The 18,934-nt window shown below is 37.7% G+C and overlaps 2 long non-coding RNA genes across 3 annotated transcripts in view; both read right to left on the bottom strand.

Annotated features, from left to right (window-relative positions):
- Nucleotides 1–18,901, bottom strand: part of LINC01539 (long intergenic non-protein coding RNA 1539) — a 54,181-nt gene extending 35,280 nt beyond the window's left edge. The window contains exons 1-5 of one of the 2 annotated variants that reach the window (NR_040025.1): nt 18,671–18,901; nt 11,166–11,338; nt 3,658–3,853; nt 2,988–3,322; nt 2,643–2,811 (exon numbers count right to left, since the gene is read on the bottom strand). This is a non-coding gene — a long non-coding RNA (long intergenic non-protein coding RNA 1539). Of the gene's footprint in view, nt 1–2,642; nt 2,812–2,987; nt 3,323–3,657; nt 3,895–11,165; nt 11,339–18,670 lie in introns of both variants that reach the window. The other variant, NR_040026.1, reaches the window with a different exon arrangement.
- Nucleotides 1–18,934, bottom strand: part of LINC03069 (long intergenic non-protein coding RNA 3069) — a 187,650-nt gene that overhangs the window by 115,023 nt on the left and 53,693 nt on the right. The gene's annotated exons all lie outside the window — the stretch shown is intronic.

Genomic DNA, 18,934 nt, shown 5'->3' on the forward strand with positions numbered 1-18,934 from the left:
CCCCAGCGCACTCTGCCCTGAGCTGGTTCTTCCTGAGAGAGTGCCAACAAGAAAGAAAAATGGATATTTAGTAAGCAGACTGTTTTTTTCATCTGAGAAGAATATGTGCAGGGATTTAGAGGACTCACCCATGTCTCTTTTATTAACAAGAACGTACTTGAACTGAGAATTCAATCTCTGCAATACAAATAGAATTCACCAACAGAAGGGAAGGGAGGGGAAAAAATAAGATTAAAAACCCACAGTCTTCCTTCTTGCTTAGCAGCCCTCCTAAGAGTTAGGGGCTTTCACAATGGGATTATGGAGCTTCGAACAAAATTAAATAAAATAAATAGATTCACTTCTAACAAGTTTCATTCCATGGCAGACCCTCAAAAGACACACATTTTTAAAATTATTATTTTGAGAAAGTTATCTGAAATGAAACTCTGGCTGTATTTTTCTAAATAATCCACTGGGAAGAATAAAAAGCGTTCCACGTTCATAGGGAGCTGGGGATAGATTTACACTTATGGTTACTTCAATATTGATAAGAGAATATAAAGTAAACTGCTTCCCAATGAAGACATAGTCAAAGACTCAGGGTCATTCTTGATTATCTTGTCGTCTTCCTCTAGGGATTCTAGTCCAGGTAACTATTCTGTTACTGGTGACCTATGGTGGTTACTAAGGAACAACATCAGAGTTAACAATCCCCAAAGGCAAAGTGTTAAATCAAACCAAGGATATCTGCATTGCAGTTACTGTACTAGAAAAATTCTCTACTAAATCCCACTAAAATAACAAATATTAATCAAAGTTCAAGCTATATCAACAGCATTCTTGCTTAATTGTTGAAATTAATAGTTTATCACAAGCATTGAATTGCTCTAGTCTCTCTCATCCACCACTGCTGGAAGTGGGAATTGGAGAAAACTGAAGAATCCATAAAATTCCTAGCCAGATGATTTTTACACTGAGATTTTCCATTCTGTGTTACCAACAGTGAACACACATTCCCTTTTCCCCAAGATTGCTACCTGCCAAATCTGTCTTTGGGAGGTCACAGCACCCTTTCTCAAATACAGCGTTCAGGGGCACATACTGAGAAGATACTGGTTATTATTTTCAGTGATTGGAGGAAAGTGGAAATGTTATTCAAGGAAAAAACAAGGAGAAAAAACAACGCCATGATTTGTTGAGGAAGTGTGTCCACGTGCCAGGCAGCATTCACTGAAGTCACCAAAAAGGGGGAAAGCCCCTGTTTTACTTCCTATCATTATTTCTATTTTGGAATGTGGGTTCCCGGTAAGAGCATATCTAGGCATTACATTATAAAGCTCTTCTCCTACAGATCCAGTGGGGCCATTTAGCTCATTGGTCACTGGATGCACATCTCTTTTTAGCTATTGGTCCTTGACTATTATTTCTTATACAAATATGTGTGTGGGAGTGGGAGGTGATGGTGGAGTGAATAACTCAAGTCTTGACCTCCTAGATCCACCTGAATATCAGACCCCAATGATGGGTCAACTTTCCTAGCTACAAGGCAGTGTCCAAGCATTCAGTCTACTTCAAGGCCTTTATGATACTTCAGTAGTAGGGTATGTTTGCATGAGGACTAAGACAGACCAAATTATCCTTGATTTATAGTGACTAAGATTAGAATAAGGTTCCAGAAAGCCTAGCAGGGACATCCCTGGAGAATATTATTAAAAAGGCAAACTGTATTTATCACTCCATACTCTTCTACTGGGCCCTCCCCTGCAAATGCTCTGTGCCCTAAGGAAGCCGCATCTGAGGTCCAGGATTCTGGCTTTTTCCTCTCTGAGCAATTCACTCAAGTCTGTAACTCTTGAAATATTCTTCCTCTGTAAAATGGCTCTATCCTTTTACTATACCCTCTGGATTCTGCACAAAAATTTCCAGGTTTACCTAAGATTTTAACTAGATCAACTTAATGCAATAATAGATCATTTTTGTATTGTTGTGTTGCCTGCATGGGTAGCTGATATGTATTCTAGCAGGAGCTGTCTAAATATATTTTAATTTAAAAAAGTGGTCCTCACAGGTGCTAATTCTAATTCAGAAAGGGAGTTATTTGGGGTAGATGAGCTCTTTTAGTGCCCCGTCAACTACACTGGGATAAGTCAGTGATTACATACTCTGAATCTACAAAGTCTTGCCCTACCGGTTGATGCTCTATTAATGTAAGATGCATGATTTCTCAGATAATTGCTTTTATCCACCACTTGATATTTGCCATAGAGGCATGGTCTCAAGAATTGCTTTGAGCAACTGTCTTGTTTAAAACCAACATTGCTTTAAATCTACATATTTTAAAAAGCATAAAAGCATACGAGTCATATTTTACCCATTTCCGATTTATGAAGTGCCTGGAGGCACTTTTTACCATAAAGATTTTTGCAATACAGATATACAAGCTTCCTTCTCCTACTTTAGAATAAATGACTGGTGGCTGAGACTTTCTTCCAAATACTTTTACATAAGCATTTTATAATCCTTTTAAATGTTCCTTTTTACAAAATTTCTTTCTAAGTTACACTTCTCCTTCTTAATCGTATATGAACCTCAATATGAACATTTGAATACTTTTTTCCTTGCTCTTCAATTTTCATACTTCAACTGGTAATTTCCTATACCTTTCTGCTTTCTCCTCTCTTTTCTCCTTTTCTTCTTTTGATGACTTCTGAAAGACACTGATGATAATCTTTCTCATTTCTCCAAACAGTGTTCTTTCCTTGGTGTTAAATTGTAGATAGTTGAGGTATCACAACTTGCTTGACATTGCATCCTTTGCTCTAAGGAATACTAGAGACAGAGAGAATGGTGATAGAGCTTAGGGCTCCATTGGGGAGAAAAATGAAGAACATTTTAGAAAGAGTGTGTGATCTGTTAAAATATGTAGCACTGAAACACATATTTTGAGAGTTAGGAAGATTAATGTCTTTCAATACTAGATACGCAAACTGTCAAAGAACACTTACGGTTCTTCCAGCCTTGATCCTTATGGTTTTGATTGATTGGGGTCATAGATGGCTTCCTTGACAAAATCCTAAAATCATGTCTAGCAAACAAAACAACAATCTGGCAAGGGAATATCACAAGGTATAAATGGATTCGAAGGGCTTCAGCTTCAAAATGCAACTTGATGTGATGGTAAAAGAACTTCCAAGAATTTTAAGTGTGGTTTCCTTGGAGTAGTATTAACCAGTTGCTAGAGGCAAGCTGACTGGGTCTGCTTTGCACCAGAAGTCATAAAATTTGTTCAGGGCTCAGCATGCTATCTGCTGAAGGGTAAGAACCTTTTTCTTCCATTATCCTAAAGAGAAATCTCTGGCATTAAAATTCAGACAGTCATTTACTCATGGTACAATTTTTTTACTTATTCTGATTTAGATAAAGACCTTAATGATATATTTCCATGTTTTTACTGGTATGTTCTTAATTTTGTTTTCCTTTGTTCTAAAGACTAAACCTTCAGTTTCTTTTGTTTTAGTCATTTCAACATTAATGAATATCATCTGGATTAATGACACTATTTAATTGTCTAAGATAGGAATCCTGGACTCATTCTTGCTTAAAACTAATTTATTAAATCTTATAACCTTTTTTTCCACCAGTTAAACTTCTTGTTTGTTCTACATTAAGCAATACCTGAATAGGAGTAATCCATTGGATGCTGTATGTCATCTACAAATTCTGCCCATTGACACCTTTGAGCGTTCTGTCTTCTGGGGCTACAGTGTGATGACATCAAAATCCCTCTTCTGTTGATTTAGGCACATCCAATTCCATGCTCATCAATTGTAGAAGTCAATCCTCATTAGTCAGTTGATTATCAGCTCTTGCCCTTGCAAGGAAATTGGTGAGCCATCATCATCTAGGCTAGTCCTATCAAATGGTGTTGGGTAATTGGTAACCATAGAACCATTCAATTCTAAATTTCAAACATAGATAACTGCATTTTGCTTTCATTCTGAGGATTCAAGGGAACATAATAGATACCATAGCAATCAAAAGCTGTCTTTTAGACAGGATCAAGAACTAAAGGCAAATATTCTAATTTGGTAATCATCCTTATGACCTTTAACAATATTTATTCACAAAAGATTTGTTTTAGGAGACTAATTTATTGTCATTTTGCATTTTAAGGTTTTTTGTGGTGGTGGTGGTGGTATTATTTAGCAACTGGACAATTTAACTTTGGTAACTGTAAGAGCAAGCTGGTGAAAGTGATTTTAGTTAATGTCAGTAGGGCATTATAAATTAAGGGTTTATTACTCTTAGTCCTAACCTGATTCCTTTAAATGAGCAACTTGGATGGTTGATACGAATAAAGAGGAAAGAACACAGGTTTTGTGTCTGTGATATATGTAGATTCAAATTAAGATTCTGCCCCTAACTCCCTGAATTAGTCTCACCTATAAAAGTGAATATTCAAACCTGTATCTCAGAGTTAAACAGTCACAGGTGCATGATAGGAGATCAAGGATAGCTTTCATTATCATTATTGTGATTTCTCCTTCTGTATAATTTCACCAATAAGAAGCCTAGGACTTCATCAGCAGACTAATCTGTACTTGAAATCTCTTGAACCCAGGAGCCAAAAGACTCATACTGTCAAGGTGACATAGGGGTTTGCTGATTCATAATCATCATAAGACCTAAAAGGGATAGTTTAATTTTGATAGGCTATTTTTCTAAGGGTGGCTATTGGCTCACATTATTAGATAATCATGGTTCAATACTGTTCAATTGCTACCTATCAGAGTCATTCTTTCATATACATATGTTGTATTTCTTACTACGTGCCAGACACTGTTTTAGCCATTGAGAAACATTAAGAAGCAGTTTACTTTCATTTTAAATGAACACTTTTCTATAGAAGTTACTGTTTATTCTTGTTTGGTTTTTATCCCTTCTTTATTTACCATTTTCAGGAATAAAGATGTGAGGGTTACAAGTAAAAATATTCCATGAAATTTGCATTTTCTTCAAGTTTAACTGTTTTAAAAACTGTGATGGAAAAACTGGGAGTTCAGGAGGATTGAACCAGAGGCAAGAGCTCTGTGAACACATAATGACCTCCATGATTCAAACACACAAGTCTATCTGTCACCCAAGAGAAATGTTTAGACAGATTAGATACAAATGTGCCATGAATGCACCTTGTGTAGGCAAATGGTAAGACTGATTTTCCCTTTTTTCTTGATTGGTAAAGCCTAGAGAAGTTATCAATAGAACTTCATCTCAAAGGAAGTAATATTTTTACACAGACATACATTGCAGCAAATCCTGAACCTTGCTACTGAGGCACACAACAGTTGCAGATTTGGACACCTCTCTTGTTCAATGCTTGGCTCTGAGTGAGCAACTTCTCTGATGTTATAGGCCCATAGTTTTAAAGAAAATTAGAAACATATAATAAGTCACAGGAAGAGGAAGAAAATTTAACCCAGTGGTCTCTAAGTCCTCCTCTAAGAACTATACCCTAATCTTGCATAAAGATTTACTTCTAATTAACTTGCCAGTTAAGAGACATTCTCCCTTTTTGGCAAAAATCTGACCAAACAATCAGCTGGATATCCTGTCTAGACTTGACTCCAGCTTCTACCCTCAAAAAGGTCTGTCCAGATGCTCCTGACCTAACATGTGCCTGATGAACAAAAATACTTTAGCACAATTGTAGTTCTGTTGACCATTGTCGGTAATGGAGCTAATCAAGAGAACCAGGGGACTCATTAAAACTTTCTGCTGTATATTCATAGGCTGATTCATTTAAGAGAATTTTTGGAGGAGTAATAGGTAGATGAAAGGCTTTAGAAATATGCAGATGACTCAAGTCTCATAACCCTGGGAGTCAGACATGCACGCACAAATTCATAATGTGAAATAGCATGTCTAATGGAAGAACATTCATTAGTTAAGTTCAAAGGAAAGACTCAGATTTCACTTGGAAGAATGAGGGAAGACTTTGTATTTGCTGCTTTTCATTGTGAGCTGAAGAGTTGCCCCAGGAACCTGAGACTTTGAGCCCTTACCCAGGGATGTGAAGTCTGCATGGTACACACAGGTACCTGGGCCTCGTAGAGGGGAAGGGGGGCACATGGGGGTTTTCTGAGATTCATTCCATGCTCCACTCCGTTAACCATGTGCCCTGGCAGGAAGGGCTGTCCACCTGAAGAAAAGGCCATGGAACCATGCAGCCCTAGGGTTTCTAAGTTGGCTCTCCCTTCTGGGCAACTTTTTAAAAATTAAGTTTTGGGGTACATGTGCAGGATGTGCAGGTTTTTTACATAAGTAAACATGTGCCATGGTGGTCTGCTACACCTATCAACCTGTCACTTAGGTATTAAGCCCAACATGCATCAGCTCTTTTCCCTAATGCTCTCCCACCCCTGCTCTCCCCCAATAGGCCCCAGTAAGTGTTGTTCCCCTCCTTGTGTCCATGTGTTCTCATTGTTCAGCTTCCACTTATAAGTGAGAACATGTGGTATTTGGTTTTCTGTTCCTGCATTAGTTTGCTGCGGATAATGGCTTCTAGTTAAAGAAAATGTACATGTATACCATGGGATACTATGCAGCCATAAAAAGTAATGAGATCATGTCCTTTGCAGGGACATAGATGAAGCTGGGCAACATTTTCTAATTCACACAAAGGTACACCGATGCCCTCCTGGAGTTGTAGTATCTGTTACAAAGAGGGATGATCTGAAAGGCTACTTTTGCTTTGGGGAGAAGCCAGATCGAAAGCCAACAGGCTGCTCACAGGAATTTTCCATCTAGAAGTCCCAGAGAAAGAATTGAGATACCAGGCCCTGAAACTGAAGCCAGATAGGAGCATACAGGTTTAAAGCTGTGGATAGAAGGTAGAAGGGGTGAATTCTCTGAACTGATTGCTGAGCTGTGACTATAATGGGTGTAGGTGGCCTAGTTTGTGGGTGGGATGGGAGGTATCAGAGAGCCAGCTCAGTGGGGTCAGGTATAAAAGAGGGGCTAAATTTGGACTGTGTGATGGAGGAAGAAAATGAGGAGAGAGAATTTCACGCAGAGGGTTCACCTCTGCAAAAACTCCATGGGATGGAAGGCTATGGCTTGATGAGTGCACACCAAGACTTATGCAATAGCTGGGACATAGGGCACATGGATGAGGAGGGTCAGGAGCTCAGGAGTGAAGATGAAGAGGGAGAGGAAGGTCAGCTCCTGAAGACAATGCCCATCCTGGTGTTCAAATCTCTCAAATGATTATCAGGATTATTATTTTCTCTTAGAGTGAGATATTTGTTTCCTGTGTGCTTCCTTTTATTAAATAATTGAATCTGTGCAACAAACCAGTTTCCCTTTTTGCTTTGGTTGTTATGATGCTCTGGGCTCTGTGGTAGACAGACCATAATGTGGCTTGCCATGTTTCATTACTATTAGGTTGGTGCAAAAGTCATTGCAGTTTTTGCCATTACTTTCAATGGATCTTGTATTATTGCCCTTGACCTAATGCGATTCCAAGGCATCCATTGTCCTGTGTGTTAAATCACCACTAATCCCTTTTAAAAAGTTGTCAAAATATGAGTGATACATAGAAATAATATATAATAATATCTTCTAGTTGACAACCAAACAGCAAATGGTTCTTGAACACCTCTGATAACTGACTCTATTACTTCGAGAAGTCAGAAGCACAAGATTTAGTTTCAACATTCAATTACCAGCTTGTGACCTACCTGAGAATATGCCATGTGCAGATAACATGTTAAGTAGTAGTACAAGGCATTATATGCAGGGTTAATATTTAACTTATTTCTACTGCTACAAGGTTACTTGCAATTAAAACATTTTAGTTCGTCTCCTTTGGGTGGTATATAACTTGTGCCTGAAGCCAGCTGAGTACCCAGCTTGCCCCTCACATCCCTTCCAACTCTCCCTGAAACACCCACCTCCATTCCCTACAATCTAGCAACTGAGGGGTTAATGCAGGGCACAGCAGGAACCTCTATTCCCAGGACCAGGACCATCATTTGCTCTGGTGAGATGAAGTCTACTATGCTCAGACTTCTATTAAACATTTTGAACATCACTCTTGAGTAAATGTTAGGTGCTAAGTGATCTGTCTCCTTGTTATCATTGCAATAAATAATAAGGGCTACTATTAGCTAATCACTTTCTATGTTCCAATTTAACATTTATAATTAGCCACTAAGATAATCTTTACTAATCTCATTTTACAATTGAAGCAACAGGCTCACGGAGTAGAAATCACTCCATCCAGAGAGGGCACCTAGTAAGCAGAGAATCCAAGTTCCCAACCCAGCTCAGTAGGACACACTCCATGTTTGGGAGAAGGCTTTGTTATCCTGCCTGGGACAGCAGAGAAGCAGCATGGAAAAGAGGGAGGAGATGGCTTAAAGGGTTTGGCCAAGCGGTGTGGCTGGAAGGACAGGGGACCTAAGGCACGTTAGGTGGGTAGTTGAATCTGGCTTACACCCTCTTAACATGTGTTTCTGGGTTCTTCCTTTTTCAGTTGCCCTTAGTCTATCATAAATAAGAATTCAGGAAGTTGCATCCACTTTTTTTTTAGGTCACTAATATACTTTATAGTAAGTTCAGCTACAGCAGAATAAATTGGGGCTTCTTGGTCCCAATAGGCACCATCTGGTTTATGAAACAACAGTGTATGCCCTCTGGATCATTTTCCCTTAGGAAATTCCTCCTTATCTGCTGCCTGGCTGCTAACTTAAGGACAATTTTCATACTTTCTATTCTAATAATTTTGTGCTGTGGATTTTCAGTTTATTTTGTTTCTATTAAGAAGGGGGAAAATAACCTCTTGTAAAACACACACGGGTTTAGTCTGGCAACAAAAAAACATTCTCAGGGCAAGAGAAAGTGAGTATTTCACAGCTAAGGGAAGAATTGAGCAACTCAGATTACAATTGAAAGCTAATGGGAGACTCATGTTGGAAGCAAAGAGGTTTGAAACAGAAGGAACAATCAAAGAGAAAATAGATGCTTTTGTTACCTATGCTTGTTTTTAGTTGTCACCTCTCCTAAAAGAAGTGATGAGCAGGCTGTAATCTGTAGGCATAACATTAAAGCTGAGAAAGCTTTAGGGAAGGGTAGGAATGGTGGGTTATGAGATCTATAAGACTTTAGATTGAAGGGTTGAAATGACAAAGATACTTACCAGTGTTATTCGATGCTGTGGTTTCATAAGTGTCTCTGGTAATTCTGAAAATACCCTCCCTACCCCAACACCCAGGTAAAAGGTCAGTCTATGGCCTTACGAAAATGTTATCATTCACTGCCTCTGGTGGACACAGTTTGTTCTCTTTCTCACTCATATGTGAAAAATCCCGACGCCCTCCCATCCTCCACCTCTTGTTGCCACCCACCAGCCCTTATGTCAGTCCAGAGGCACAAACAACATCATTAAAGGTGAGGAAAAGAAAAATCCAGTACAGATTGGCTGGCTCCCTGGCCTGGGCTGGTTTAGGCAGCTCTTGGCTTAGACACCCTGCCTTCCAAACACAATCTGTTTTCAAGATTCCTGGGGAATTTCAGGTCCAAGAGAAGGTTTGGTGTTAACTTCCCCAAACTCAGTCTCCTTCCTCTCTTTCCACTCCACTAAGGCATAGGGGAGACCCACTTGCCCAGACTCAGTTTTCAGCTTGTGGGACAAAGCTGTGTTCTTGGCTCTAGAAGAAGCTTCTGTTCTCTCCAAGCTCTGTGTTGTTTCCTTTCCTTCATAACTTTGCTCCGCCAATGGGCCAAGCATGGCTCCATTCTGCTCTACCCCCAGAGGCTTTTGGAAATGGAAAAATACAAAAGATGCTGAGAGGTCACATTTAAAGAAGACAGCCACTCTTAATAGGATATACAATCAGAAGTTCCAGAATGCAGGCAGAAGCTATTCCTTTTTAGGCCCCACGATAGCACCAAGTTCTTTCTAGTGTGGATCCTGCAATTGGCAAAGTGCCAGAAAGTGCAAAAAAATAAAAAATAAAATGATAGATGCAATGTAGTTTTTGAAGCACTCTGAAAAGTATTTATCTAAATGAGAAGCATTGCTCCCTTTTTTGTGCATGGCACCATCCTATATGAAGAAGCATCTTACAGCTTTCTGTCTAGTTGGGTGGAAAACTTGTTTAAAAGTAATACATTAGTTTCCTCTGAGATAGGAGAATTACTTGGACTCGGGGTGGGGAGGTTGCAGTTAGCCGAGATCGTGCCATTGCACTCCAGCCTGGGCAACAAGAGTGAAACTCTGTCTCAAAAAAAAAAAAAAAAGTTTCTTGTTCTGTGGTTTCCATTACCCATAGTCAACTGCAGTTCAAGAATATTATCAATATAAGTAAGTAAATCAATAAGATATTTGTAAGAGATCACATTCATATAACTTTATATTGCAGTATAATGTTATTTTATTAGTAGTAGTGGTTTTCAATATCTTATTGTGCCTAATTCATAAATTAGACTTTATCATAGGTATGTATATACAGGAAAAACATAGTATATTTAGAGTTCAGTACTGTTCATAGTTTCAGGCATCCACTGAAGATGTATACCCCACAGAAATATATCCCCCACAGAGAAGGGATGACTACTGTGTATACCTCTTTTTTTGACAGAGTCTCACTCTGTTGCTCAAGCTGGAGAGCAGTGGCACAATCTTGGCTCACTGCAAACTCCGCCTCCCAGGTTCAAGCAATTCTTCTGCCTCAGCCTCCCAAGCAGTTGGGACTACAGGCGTGCACCATCATACCTGGCTAATTTTTGTATTTTTAGTAGAAATGGGGTTTCACCATGCTGGCCAGTCTGGTCTCAAACTCCTGACCTCATGATCTGCCTGCCTCAGCCTCCCAAAGTGCTGGGATTACAGACAAGAGCCACCACGCCCAGCCTATACCTCTTTTTTTAGGTCAGTGTTTTTGAATATGATTCTAATATCTCACTGGGCAGCCCTAGAAACATCATTTTCTGGGTTCTTCTGTAATAGAGGGATGCCCTCAAAGGATACAACAGACCCATTGGTCCCCACCCTAAATTACCCGAGGATGCTGGTCTTTTTCAATAGTCTTGTGGCTTCTCTCATTGCCAGATTCCTTTAATACATTGTTCTGCTTCTTAAACACAGTTCTCAAGGTAAGAGTAGTACCATTTTTTTTTACCTTAATAAACTTGGTTTCTTTACAAGTCAAGATCTTGTAAAACAGTTCTCTTCAATTTTAAGAATGATGGCTGTATTCAGAATGGTTGAGATTTCCAGAAGTTGGATCTTGAGACAAGCAGTGATTTTCAGTATTACCATTCTGGCTTCCAAAAATGATGCTACAGCCACATTCTAAAGTAATATAGTAATAATATTAATATTACTATATAAATATAAACATATATTTATATAAAATATAAATATACATTATATTTATATTTTAATAATTTATATTTACAAATATAAATATAATTTATATTTTATATTTTATATAAAATATAAATACATATTTATATAAAATATAAATATAATTTGCGAATACTAACTCCTTGTTGGTTATTGTGCCAGTTATTTTTTATTATTATTAATTGCTTCTAATGATTATCCAATACTTAAATTAGTTCATTTGGTCTTCACCACAGTCCTCTGAGATATGCATCCTTTCATCTCCATTTAACAGATGAGGTAGCTAGAGCTTACAAGGGTCAAGATCATTATTAAGTCATGCAGCTGGTAAGTGAAGGAGATTTCATTCAAACTCAAACTCAGGTCAGCTGGAACTCAATGGTCCTGGTCCTAACTACTTGCATAGAATAGAAGGCTGGACCAAAAATATGGCTAGTTCTAAAAACAAACAAACAAACAAACAAACAAAACAGCTAAAGATTAATTATCAGAGAAAAAATCATCAGCTTTTTATCAGATCCTCAATAATGACTTAGAAATCCATTAGGAACAATTGACCTAAGTGGATTTATCAGGAACTCTAGTCTGGGAAAAGCAAATTGGTTTCAATTTCCCTATGGGGCAACCCTGACCATAGAGTAGGGGTCATCTGGAGTGCGGTGTTGAGAAAGTTTCTGAAGTAATTGCTAGATCAGTAGGAAAAAGTCATGCATTAGAAATATCTGCTGTGACCTCATTTGGTTGATGGTTTGAACAATCTATTTTATAAAATCATGAGACATCAGGGATTTGAATATTGAATATTAGATGATATTAAAGAATTGTTAATTTTTTAAATGTGATCGTGATATTGTTATTACATTTTGTGAAAGATAAAAAATCAACACCCTAACATCACAATTAAAAGAACTAGAGAAGCAAGAGCAAACAAATTCAAAAGCTAGCAGAAGAAAAGAAATAACTAACAGAGCAAAACTGAAGGAGAAAGAGACACGAAACACCCTTAAAAAAATCCATGAATCCAGGAGCTGGTGTTCTGAAAAGATTAACAAAATATACCACTAGCCAGACTAATAAGAAAAGAGAGAAGAATCAAATAGGTACAATAAAAAATGATAAACGGGAGATCATCACTGATCCCACAGAAATGCAAACTACCATCAGAGAATACTATAAACACCTCTACTCAAATAAACTGGAAAATCTTGAAGAAATGGATAAATTCCTGGACACATACACCCTCCCAAGACTAAACCACGAAGAGATCGAATCCCTAAATAGACCAATACCAAGTTCTGAAATTGAGGCAGTAATTAATAGCCTACCAACCAAAAAAAGCCCAAGACCAGATGGATTCACAGCCAAATTCTACCAGAGGTCCAAAGAGGAGCTGGTACCATTCCTTCTGAAACTGTTCCAAACAATAGAAAAAGAGGGACTCCTCCCTAACTCATTTTATGAGGCCATTATCCTGATACCAAAATCTAGCAGAGACACAATAAAAAAGAGAAAATTTCAGGCCAATGTCCCTGATGAACATCGATGTGAAAATCCTCAATAAAATGCTGGCGAACTGAATCCAGCAGCTCATTAAAAAGCTTATCCACCATGATCAAGTCGCCTTCATCTCTGGGATGCGAGGCTGGTTCAACATACACAAATCCATAAATGTAATCCATCACATAAACAGAACTAATGACAAAAACCACATGATTATCTCAATAGATGCAGAAAAAACCTTCAATAAAATTTAACACCCATTCATGCTAAAAACACTCAATAAACTAGGTATTGATGGAACATATCTCAAAATAATAAGAGCTATTTATGACAGACCCACAGCCAATATCATACTGAATGGGCAAAAGCTGGAAGCATTCCCTTTGAAAACTGGCACAAGGCAAGAATGTCCTCTCTCACCACTCCTATTCAACATAGGTATTGGAAGTTCTGGCCAGGGCAATCAGGCAAGAGAAAGAAATAAAAGTATTCAAATAGGAAGAGAGGAAGTCCAATTGTCTCTGTTTGCAGATGACATGATTGTATATTTAGAAAACCCCATCGTCTCCGCCCAAAAATTCCTTAAGCTGATAAGCAACTTCAGCAAAGTCTCAGGATATAAAATCAATGTGCAAAAATCACAAGGATTCCTATACACCAATAATAGACCAATAATAGACAAACAGAGAACCAAATCACAGTGAACTCCCATTCACAATTACTACAAAGAGAATAAAATACCTAGGAATACAACTTACAAGGGATGTGAAGGATCTCTTCAAGGAGAACTACAAACCGCTGCTTAAGGAAATAAGAGAGGACACAAACAAATGGAAAAATATTCCATGCTCATGGATAGGAAGAATCAATATCATGAAAATGGCCACACTGCCCAAAGTAATTGATAGATTCAATGCTATTCCCATCAAGCTACCATTGACTTTCTTCACAGAATTAGAAAAAAACTACTTTAAATTTCATATGGAATCAAAAAAGAGCTTGTATAGCCAAGACAATCTTAAGCAAAAAGAACAAAGCTGGAGGCTTTGTGTTACCTGATTTCACACTATACTACAAGGCTACAGTAAATAGCATGGTACTGGTACCAAAACCGATATGTACACCAATGGAACAGAACAGAGGCCTCAGAAATAACATCACACATCCACAACCATCTGATCTTTGACAAACCTGACAAAAACAAGTAATTGGGAAAGGATTCACTATTTAATAAATGGTGTTGGGAAAATTGGCTAGCCATATGCAGAAAACTGAAACTGGACTCCTTCCTTACACCTTATACAAAAATTAACTCAAGATGGATTAAAGACTTAAATGTAAGACCTGAAACCATAAAAACCCTAGAAGAAAATCTAGGCAATACCATTCAGGACATAGGCATGGGCAAAGACTTCATGACTAAAACACCAAAAGCAATTGCAACAAAAGCCAAAATTGACAAATGAGATCTAATTATACTAAAGAGCTTCTGTACAGCAAAAGAAACTACCATCAGAGTGAACAGGCAACCTACAGAATGGGAGAAAATTTTTGCAATCTATCCATCTGACCAAGGGCTAATACCCAGGATCTACAAAGAACTTAAACAAATGTACAAGAAAAAAAAAAACAACCCCATCAAAAAGTGGGCAGAGGATATGAACAGATACTTTTCAAAAGACACATTTATGTGGCCCACAAACATATGAAAAAAAGCTCATCATCACTGATCATTAGAGAAATGCAAATCAGAACCACAATGAGATGCCATCTCATGCCAGTTAGAATGGTGATCATTAAAAAGTCAGGAAACAACAGATGCTGGAGAGGATGTGGAAAAATAGGAATACTTTTACACTGTTGGTGGAAGTGTAAATTACTTCAACCATTGTGGAAGACAGTGTGGCGATTCCTCAAGGATCTATAAGCAGAAATACCATTTGACACAGCAATCCCATTATTGGGTATATACCCAAAAGATTATAAATCATTCTACTATAAAGACACATGCACACATATATTTATTGCAGCACTATTCAGAATAGCAAATACTTGGAATCAACCCAAATGTCCAGCAATGATGGACTGGATAAAGAAAATATGGCATATATACACCATGGAATACCATGCAGCCATAAAAAAGAATGAGCTTATGTCCTTTGCGGGGACATGGACGAAGCTGGAAACCATCATTCTCAGCAAACTAACACAGGAACAGAAAACCAAACATTGCATGTTCTCACTCATAAGTGGGAGTTGAACAATGAGAACGTATGGGCACAGGGACGGGAACATCACACACCAGGGCCTGTCAGGGGGTCGGGGCTAAGGGGTGGGATAGCATTAGGAGAAATACCTAATGTGGATGACAGGTTGATGGGTGCAGCAAACTGCCATGGCACATGTATACCTATGTAACAAACCTGTGCATTCGGCACATGTATCCCAGAACTTAAAGTATAATTTAAAAAATGGGGAAATCAAAAATGTGTTTAAAGGAAAATTAAAAACTGTATATATCTACTATGGTTGTAGGGTAAGAGGTAAATTTGGAAGGGCAGTGAAGATGGAGAGGTGATGTCTTACTGCATGCTAAGAGCTAGCTCTATTATAACCTCATCATAGAGCTTACAAATCAAGTCAAGACTCAAAGTAGAAAGTGGCTTGCTCAAAATCACATGGCTAGAAAATAGAAGTGTTTAGTTAGTGTCTGGGTCTTTAAGCCTAACAGATCTTCCACAATACCCACTGACACACTCACAGTTGTAATGGCTCACAGTGAGAGCATAAAGCATATTGAAACACCCTTTATGCTCCTCTGGGTCCAAGGTGTCCTCAAGAATTATGTAAACAATTTAATACTAACTAATCACAAGGGTCTTTTTAAAAACAGTTTAATTGTATTTTAACTACAGTTTTGTGTATTGTAGTTTAATTTTGAGATTAAGTGTAGATGCACATATAGTTCTAAGAAACATTGCAGAGAGAACCTGTGTACCTTTTACTCCCTTTCCCATGATGGTATCACCTTGCATAACTATAGTAGAATATCACAACCAGGAAATTAGCTTTGATACAGTCCACTGATCTTATATGGATTTCATGAGTTTTACATGGCACTAATATGCACGTGTGTGTATGTCTTTAGTTCTATGCCATTTTATCATGCATGTATATTCCTACAATCACCTCCATAGTCAAGATACAAAATAGTTCACCACAAGAGTCCTCACTAAGGGGTGCCTTAACATATTATTTCACTGAACATGAACTACATCACCAGAGAAATTATTGCTGACCTCTGAATACTTTATTTCCTACCTGGATGTGGATTTGAGTAATGAAGAGAATCAGGCTAACCAAAACCAGAATCTGAATCAAAGAAGATGAAAGTAAATTGGTCTAGGTGTATCAATGGCAAAGGAACCTATTTTAAAAAGTCAAGAATACTTTTAAGATGGTATTTTATAAAGATGCATATAATAATAAACTTAAACTTTCACATCTTCAAATAATCAGGTTTGACTTTATTTTTTCCTTGAACAGGTAATTTAACTTCTCTGAGATGGAGTTTTTCATCTGTAAAATATGGATAATCATACCTACTTATGGGGCAACTTTTGAAGATGAAATAAAGTAATATGTTTAAAAGGCACTTTAAAAATGGTAAAGTACTACTACTACTAAAAGGGTTATAATGATTTCCATGAAGAGGAAAACAAGTAATAAATAATTAAGCTGACATCAATAAATGATTTTTGAAGAGAACCTTCCAGGATATACTGTATGGTCAATATTAGCTTATCCAATCTACTATACATTCTACTCCTCAGGCCTACAAAATGGCCATGGATGCTGTTCATGATAATTCAGCAAAGCTGAAAAATTCCTAAACATCTTGTATCTCATCCAAGGAAGAGTCCCCTGAAAGTTTTTAAAACTTGGAGATTGGTCAATTTATGAATGAATATGCTGACACCCAGAGCTATAAAGTGACTTTTGAGCCTAGTATTGGTATTTTTCTCTATTTAAAATCTCTGACATAAGGTCCCAAATACATAGTAATTGTGAGTTTTAGCTTTAATATTTAATTGACCAAGATAGAAGAAAATTGGTGCCCCACAGAATTAGGAACGTGGTAAAGTGTGGAAGCACTGGAATCATGAACCAAAGTTATGAGTCTCAGAACTGGCCTAGCTCTTTCATAAAGCCAATTCACTTAGCACTAGTCTCATGAGGGGCAAATAGGGTTAGCTCTTCCAATTCCTTGGCTGCATACATTTCTATATTACTACTACTTTTAATGGCAAAAACCACAATTACTTTTGCGCCAACCTAATACTAAGTATTTAAACTCTCCTTAGTTGATCTTACACATCATCAACTCCCAGGAAAGTGGAACACTGAATCAAATACACTTCTTGTTCATAAAGGTATATTTGATTTCTACCATGTAATGGAGTTTCATCTTTTAAAACAACTATTATGAATCACTCTCTTCTCAAAAACCTTCCCTCGCCTCCAAACAGAAACCACTCTGAAAGAAGCAGATCTTAGTGAATTTTTGGAAGCTGTGGCCTTGTCTGATAGACTCTGTTTAAACACCACTTTTACATTAAATGCCAAATCCTCAGCTCTATGCACTGCCTCATTAGTTATTAATGAGGCAACATATTTGTTCAAAATTTATGGTTGTTGATTTGCTCCCATCACTGTATGAAATATTAACATAGCATTTGTACTTGCAACCATTTGCAGACATTAGATTGTGCATTTGCATATTCATGAACACTCATAAATGTTTAAGGAGACAGCATAGAAAGCATGGGCGCTGTCAGACAGACAGTAAAAAGGCATATTTACAGCGTTAATAAGTATTTGAGTTTATAGGCCAAAATGATGAGCAACAAATTAAGTGAAATTCTGGTTTGCCTATTGCAGAGACCTAGGGATTTTGCTATTTTTTAAAGCTTGTAAACTTGAAATTCATTTCATAGATGCTGAATAAACGCTTATTGTTTAGTCACAAAATATATGCACTCTGTGCAAAGAACTTCCTAAGAGTATCAGGCTCTTGGAGATTTCATCTCACTCTTTCTGAGATGCAGTTTTTGTCTGCCTTGGGGTTCCCTTCTATCAAAGTAATGTGGGAAGGCAAATGTGTCATATACTTAACCAGAATTATTTTCTGTTTTGGTTCCACAGAGGAACTTGGACAAATGATATGTTTGGTGTAACAACAACAGCCAATGTACTTGACTCAGTCTGTCAATTTATACAAACTAAGTCCTGGCAATGAAAAGGTTCAAGCATGGAGCACTAATGGACAATATGAGGGAGAGGCATAAACCATCCAACTAACAAACAAACGCTTGATTTACAAATAATCCATGCATACGAATGTCTGCCAACATCCCACCAAACCCATTCCACTATAAGAAATCTCACCCCTTGCCACATTCCTAAGAGTCATGGTGAAAAATCTAGACCCTTTTGGAAGTTTTATGGGTAAATGATGGAGAAAGTATTACATTAAATCTCTACCTCACACTATATACAAAAATTAATTCCAAATATTTTAAGAGAATTGATGATGAAAGGAAAAGCTATAAAACTTATATTATGTAAAACAAATATAGGAAAATAATCTTCCTGACCTCAGGGCAATGGGAAAAAAGGAATTAAGCCATCCTGTGGGCAGTATCACTACCTGTGCCATGCCATTGTTAAATGTCTCAAATATCATCTCTGGGTGAATGAATGTGTGAGATAGCTCACCATATCCTTGTACCAGCAGGAGAGGGAGGTCATAGATTGGAACATGGGTTGTAGTTGGCTTCTGTTGCCATGGCCTAATTGTTCTGCTGGTCACTTCTTGCCCCCTTGGCATTACTGCTGAAATCTGCAACTAGTAGATCCATGGTCTTTTCTTTCTTGGCACAGCAAGGATATTCTTTTCCTCTCTGGTGACACGCTGTGCTGCAACTTTTGCTCATTCTATTCATCTATGAGGTCTGAAAGTTCTTTTCATTTATTCTTTAG

Source organism: Homo sapiens, chromosome 18 (genome assembly GCF_000001405.40).
Source record: "Homo sapiens chromosome 18, GRCh38.p14 Primary Assembly".
NCBI lineage: Eukaryota > Metazoa > Chordata > Mammalia > Primates > Hominidae > Homo > Homo sapiens.